Source organism: Homo sapiens, chromosome 14, assembly GCF_000001405.40.
Source record: "Homo sapiens chromosome 14, GRCh38.p14 Primary Assembly".
Lineage (NCBI taxonomy): Eukaryota > Metazoa > Chordata > Mammalia > Primates > Hominidae > Homo > Homo sapiens.
In genome coordinates, this window is record NC_000014.9 from 65,875,028 (window position 1) to 65,882,267 (window position 7,240).

The window sequence follows — 7,240 nt, forward strand, 5'->3', positions numbered from 1 at the left end:
TTGATTGTATTGTGGTCTGAGAGGTTGTTTGTTATGATTTCAGTTCTTTTGCATTTGCTGAGGAGTGTTTTACTTCCAACTATGTAATCTATTTTAGAGTATGTGCCATGTGGTGATGTGAAGAATGTATATTCTGTTGTTTTGGAGAGTTCTGTTGATGTCTATCAGGTCCATTTCATCCAGTGCTGAGTTCAGGTCCTGAATATCAATGTTAATTTTCTGTCTCAATAATATGTCTAATATTGTCAGTGTTGTGTTAAAGTCTCCCACTGTTATTGTGTGGGAGTCTAAGTCTCTTTGAAGGCCCCTAAGAGCTTGCTTTATGCATCTGGCTGCTCCCGTGTTAGGTGCATATATATTTAGGATAGTTAGGTATTCTTGTTGAATTGAACCCTTTACCATTATGTAATGCCCTTCTTTGTCTTTTCTGATCTTTGTTGGCTTAAAATCTGCTTTGTCTGAAACTAGGATTGCAACCCCTGTCTTTTTCTGTTTTCCATTTGCTTGGTAGATTTGTCTCCATCCCTTTATTTTTAGCCTGTGTTGTCATTGCATGTGAGATGGGTCTCTAAAAGACAGCATACCAATGGGTCTTGGTTCTTTATCCAGCTTGCCACTTGTGCCTTTTAATTGGGGCATTTAGCCCATTTACATTCAAAGTTATTATTGATATGTGTGTGTTTGATCCTGTCATCATGATGTTAGCTGGTTACTTTGCAGACTTGTTTATGTGGTTACTTTATAGTATCACTAGTCTGTGTACTTCAGTGTGTTTTTGTAGCAGCTGGTAACGGTCTTTCCATTTTCAGTGCTTCCTTCAGGAGCTTTTGTAAGGCAAGTCTTGTGGTAATAAATTCTCTCAGCATTTGCTTGTATAAGAATGCTAGTGATTTTTGTACATTAATTTGGTATCCTGAGACTTTACTGAAGTTGTTTAAAAACTTGACTGAAGTTGTTTAAAAACTTGACTGAAGTTGTTTAAAAACTTGACTGAAGTTGTTAAAGAATCTTATTTCTCCTTTGCTTATGAAGCTTTATTTGGCTGGATGTGAAATTCTGGGTTGGAATTCTTTTCTTTAAGAATGTTGAATATTGGCCTCCAATTTCTTCTGGTTTGTAGGTTTCTATTGAAAGGTCCACCATTAGTCTGATAGGCTTCCTTTTGTAGGTGACCTGACCTTTCTCTCTAGCTGCCTTTAACAATTTTTCTTTTATTTCAACCTTGGAGAATCTGATGATTATGTGTCTTGGGGATGATCTTTTTGTGAAGTATCTTAGGGGGTTTTCTGCATTACCTGAATTTGAACATTGGCCTCTCTAGCTAGGTTGGGAAAGTTCTCATGAATGATATCCTGAAATATGTTTTTCAAGTTGCTTACACTCTCCCTATTTCTTTAAGGGACAAAAATGAGTGATAGATTTGGTCTCTTTACATAATTTCATGTTTCTTGGAGGTTTTGTTTGTTCCTTTTCATTCTTTTTTCTCTATTTTTGTCTGATTGTCTATTATCAGAAAGCCAGTCTTCAAGCTCTGAGATTCTTTTCTCCACTTGATCTATTCTGCTACTAATACTTGTGATTGCATTATGAAATTATTGTAGTGTGTTTTTCAGCTCTGTCAAGTAATTACATTCTTTTCTATACTGGCTATTTTATCTGTCAGCTACTGCATTGTTTTATCATGATTCTTAGCTTCCTTGGATTAGGTTTCAATGTACTCCTGTAGCTCAATGATCTTCATTCCTGTCCATATTCTGAATTCTATTTCTGTTATTTCAGTCATCTCAGCCTGGTTCAGAACCCTTACTAGAGTGTTGATATGGTTGTTTAGAGGAAAGAAGACACTCTGGCTTTTTTAGTTGTCATGGTTCTTGTGTTGATTCTTTCTTATCTTTGTGGACTTATGTTCCTTCTATCTTTGAGGGTGCTGACCTTGGGATTTTTTTTTCTTTTATCCTATTTGATGACTTTGAGGGTTTGATTTTGGTGTAAGGTGGATTCGGCCAACTGGCTTTGTTTCTGGAAGATTTTAGGTGGCCAACACTCAGATCCTAACTTTGAGACGGCGCACTCTAACTCTGGGGGACTTGTATTGGGCCCCAAATTTGTTCTCTGGCTCCTTGAGGTTAGGAATCTACTTTGCTGGTTGAGGGTGGGGAGTGAGGTGCTCCGACACTGCTGGTCACTACACTCCGATGGGTGGTGTCAGCCAAAGCATTTCTTAGTGCAGTGACAGTGGGACCCTTCCTCATTCATACATGCCAGCAGCGTCAGTAGTGGCAGCTGCGGCAGGGTGCTCACAGGTGCTGGGGTGCATGCCTCCCTGCAGGCGTTCACCACAGTGGCGGAGGCAATGCAGCTGTTGAGGACCCTGCTGGCAAATGTGTGAGCAGTCACATTGGTGGTGGTTTTGGCTTGGGGTGGGATGCCGGTGGGCACAGGTCTGTGTGACTTCTCTGTGCTCTGTAAGCAGGAGTGGTCTAAAATCAGTGTCATTTCAGTTTACAAAAGCAGAGTTTACTAAATTGTCATGGGTTAAAGAAGTATAAGAAGAGAGGGAAGTGGCTTTCTTATAGATTCAGAAAACAGAACATTAAAACAAAAACAATATTCCAGCTAACCCCAATAAAATTTCCCTTATCAGTATATTCAGTCCTATAATTAATTCTTGTTCCTCTGGATCTTGGGTTAGCAATCTCATGAAGCTGTCTGCTTCTCAACTAAAAAGAGTTTAGAAATCTTGCCTTAGCCCACAGGTGCAGTCTGAGTGTTGTCTAAGTTACGTTACATCAGAAGACTGTACCCAAGAGTCTATTCTTTGAAATGTCAATAGTTTGAAGTACCTAGTATAGTCCTTTTCCGGGAAGCTTTATTTAAGACATAAACTCTCGCCTTCACTTTATAGCATCGCCTCAGGGATGTATTAGAGTAAAACAAAAACCATTTGTAGGTAACAAAGACATATGGCTGTGGTTAATTTCTTTCTTTTTTCCTTTTTTTTTTAGGGCTGTTTTGCTTTTAATGAAGGCAGATACAAAATGCATCAATGCAAAAGAATCTTTTATATACTCATTAACATAGTGAGTAATGTAAACTACATTTTGATAATGTAAAATACAGTATGTTTGTTAGGCCTCAAAAAAGAAACCACAGAGTTAGCTGCAACTTAAGGTAACTAGAAAGGCTCCTTAGGTTGTTATTACCCACCACCTTTATTATAATAGTTCTAAATGATATCTGGGGAGGGGATTAAAAAATAATACAAAGCTCTTTTCAGCTGTGGTTCAAAGAACTCTAGTGAAGCTGTATGGCAATGACATTGTGGGACCATGAAATTTCCCCAGAAGTATTTCTAATAATATAGGCAGTTAAGAAGCTTAATAGTTTCAAAGTCTGGAAAGCAGCAAAAATATCTTAGAGAATTTAAAAACATTATAAACCTCTCTTCTCTCCTACAGAGACATTTTAAAGCATGGACATAACTTTAAGGATATTGAAAAAACATCAGTAGTTTTCATAAAGCTTCAATGAATACCCCAAGGCACAAGTGTTGAAAATGGTCTGTTCACAAAATGTCACTGCGTTGTACTTTTGGAGGTACAGATATACTGTGCTTGCAGTGAGAGGACAACTTTATCCCTAGTTAAAAGCACCAGATGTGTCAAGCTCAGCTTCCATTTACACAGGATGCACCCAAAATCCCTACGATAGTGAATGGTTCAAGTACTAGACCACATTTCCAACGTCTTGCCTATTTGCTTAGTCAGCACTGAGGTTCTTTTAAACCCTGTAGGTCTGTAGAATATTTTGAAAGGCCAGAACTACCCTGAAAATAGTCTTGAAATAATACGGAGCCCTTCTAAAAGAGCTCACTGGATACTTTAATAACATTTACAGAAAGAAATAGACAATAGCTGAGTTTCTTTCAAGTGAAGATGAAAAATAATGTAGAACTAGCATGTAGGCTAAAATGTTTGGTAGTTAATGTCAAAAATTGCCAAGATTGTTAATGTATATTTTTGGTAATCACTATTGGCCAGGTTAATTTTTTTTGTAAAATACACAATATATTAACAGAACAGAAAAATCATTATTTTGACCACTAACAGAAGAAAACCCACAGCAAGAGAAGCATCTATAGGGCAATTAAAAGTTACGGAAGTTTACTAGCTTTAGAATACATCAATACACTTCGATTATATAAATATTTCATTTTTAAGACTAGAGTGCTTTAATGTACTTTTAGTAACAACCCAATCTAAGGAGACTTGGAGGCTTGTGAAAAAGATGGGTCCACCAAGGTGCTGCATTTCTAGTGTAGGGTGGATTAATACTTCTGTAAGAAGGAAGGAACTGAGTCACCTCAGCATTGCTAAACAGGGTTTTTCTTTTAAACAGTAACTCAATCTCATGACTCACCTCACTTCACTAGTACAAAATTAGGCAGGAGAAGAACTAAGCTCACTGGTCAGACTCAGAAACAATGATTTGGCAACCTGTAGTCACTCAGCTCATGATGTGTGATGATCGGCAGAAAACTGCTCAACTCTTGCTGTCCATTCCTTCACATCTGCAGAGGAGTTTGGTGTAACCACTTCTCTTTATCAACTTAAGCTGCATACAGGCAAAAAGGTCACAAACTGCAGGGAGGCCGAAAAGGTCTAGGAGGAAATTATATTCCTCCTGTAGAGGTGAATTAATTAATACTTCCTGGGCCTTCTTTCCAAGCAGCCACTTGTCTTTGACAGAGGATAACTGGCTGAGGTTGCCCATCTTCTGTCCTGGCAGGACCCAGTCAGCTGTGTTAAAGGGACACCAGGAAGTGGTCATGGGGCTTTTAGGCTTTGGTTTGCCAGCTCTGTCTTCCTTGGGACTTCCTTTTTTGTATGGCGGCCAGATGAGCCACTCTGACAGCTGTTCTTTATGACTTGGAAGGAATCAGAAGTTCCAGAAGGAACCATTACCTTTAGTGCCTGTGTTCTCTTACTTCTTTTCTAGAAGGACAGAACCACATGTTCAGGGAATCTTTATGCTTCTCAGGCTCAGGTTTGGGTTCCTCAGGCATCCCATTTTTATCCTTTCCTTCTTTCTTCAGAAGCCACTTGCACAGAGCTTCCTTCTCACAATTCTCATCACACACACACTTTGCAAAGCTTGTGCAGGGCTCATTGGCTTTGCACATCTCCTCTACCTTACATGGGTCATGATGCTTCTGGACAGGCCAATCCCAGTAACCACGCTGGGGGTGGACAATGGTGTTTTGGCCTCCAAGTGGTCATTCAGGCAGTTCAGATTGCCAGGTTTTCAATCTCCACCCCCTTGGGCTTGTTGCCCTGACAGTTGGTGCGGGAGTTGGTCTTGACAAGCCAATCGTTCACATTGTAGGACTAGCACAAGTGCTTAAACTTCTCACTGGTTTCACGACTGCCATTCTCAGGCTTCTCCAGCTTCTGGGGTTCCTAGGGAGTCACCAACCAATCTGATAGATCTGTCTCATCTTGTTCAGGAAACTCTTGATCTTCAGTTTCAATGGAGAAAGAACTGGTAGTGGAATGGCTGTTACACTTTTGATAACTTGGTTTTTCAGGAACTTCCTGTCACTGACTCTTGAGGAGCCAGTTTTCTAAGCCCTTTAGGTTTTCCCAGACACTACTGAAGAAATTGCAGGCTCTTGCAGAAGTCTGACTATTCTCCAAGGTCTGCTTTTGGGTGAGTCAGTCCAGACAATCACTGGCAGATTTGTTTCCAAGGAGCCATTTGCTGAGAGGAACAGTTGTGATGCTGGATTCTGCTCTTGCATTGGGATATAGCCTCTTTTCTTCAGGAAAGGCCCAATATTTGATGAACTAGCATGATCCATCAAGTGCTCAGGAATTTGAATGGTTTTGAGAGACACAAATGTGGTGATGGTCTGATGCAGAGCAGTTGTGTCTGCTTCAAAGAGTAGGACAGTTGAATATTCAGGCTTAAAGGTCAAACTGCCCAGTCTCTCCAGGCACACAGAGACTTGATTGGCTAGAGCTTTGTTTTGGGTACACTCTAATCAATTATTCTTAATTATAGTCACCCTACTCTGCTATCAAATGCCAGAACTTATTCCTTTTATCTAACTGTATTTTTGTACCCATTAACCAACCTCTTTTTATGTCCCCTTCCCACTCTTCTTGGCCTCTGGTAACCATCATTCTACTGTCTACTGCTATGAGATCCACTTTTTAAGCTCTCATATAAGAGTGAGAACATGGAATATTTGTCTTTCTGTGCCTGAGTTATTTTGCTTAACATAATGTCTTCCATTTCCATCCATGTTGCTTCAAATGACAGAATTTTATTATTTCTTATGGCTGACTAATATCCCATTGAGTATATGTACCACATTTTCTTTATCCATTCATCTGTTGAGGGCACTTAGGTTGCTTCCAAACCTTGGTTATTGTGAATAGTGCTGCAGTAAACACAGTACTGCAGATATCTCTTTGATATACTGATTTCCTTTCTTGTGAACATATACCCAGCAGTGGAATTAATGGATCATATGGTAGTTTTATTTTTAGTTTTTTTGAGCAATCTCCATACTGTTTTCCATAATGGCTATGCTAGTTTACATTCCCAGCAACAGTGTGTATGTATGTGTGAGTTCCCCTTTCTTCATATCATCTCCAGCATTTGTTATTTTTTGTCTTTTTGATAACAGCCATTCTAACTGGGATGAGATGATATATTATTGTGGTTTTAATTTGCATTTCTCTGATGATTAGTGATGTTGAGCATTTTTTCATACACCTACTGGCTATTTGTATGTCTTATTTTGAGAGATGTCTATTCAGCACATTTTAAAATCTGTCTATTTTTAAATCTGATTTTTTTTGCTAAGTTGTCTGAGTTCCTTGTATATTCTGAATATTAATCCCTTGTCAGGTGAATAGTTTGCAAATATTTTCTCCCATTCTGCAGGTTCTCTTTTCACTCTGTTGTTTTCTTTGCTATGCAGAAGCTTTTTAGTTTGATATAATTCCATTTGTCTGTTTTTACTTTTGTTGCCTGTGCTTTTGATGTATTTTCCATAAAATCTTTGTACACATCGATGTCTTGAAACATTTTCCTCATGTTTTCTTCTAGTGGTTTCACAGTTTTGCATCTTACATGTACATCTTTAATCAATTTTGAGTTGATTTATTGTAGATGGTGAGTGATAGGAGTCTAGTTTCATTTTTCTGCATATAGATATTCAGTTTTCCCA

General features: G+C 38.8%; 1 pseudogene, besides 1 other annotated feature; it reads right to left on the reverse strand.

The window, feature by feature from the left end:
- Positions 241 to 410: an enhancer, noted in NCBI's record as "experimental_35314 CRE fragment used in MPRA reporter constructs". NCBI's record gives its function as "activates a minimal promoter by MPRAs in K562 erythroleukemia cells, with activity observed for both the introgressed and non-introgressed 14:66342071 variant alleles {active_cell/tissue: K562}" and the evidence as "EXISTENCE:reporter gene assay evidence [ECO:0000049][PMID:34662402]".
- On the reverse strand, positions 3,006 to 6,040 carry NCOA4P1 (nuclear receptor coactivator 4 pseudogene 1; annotated as a pseudogene).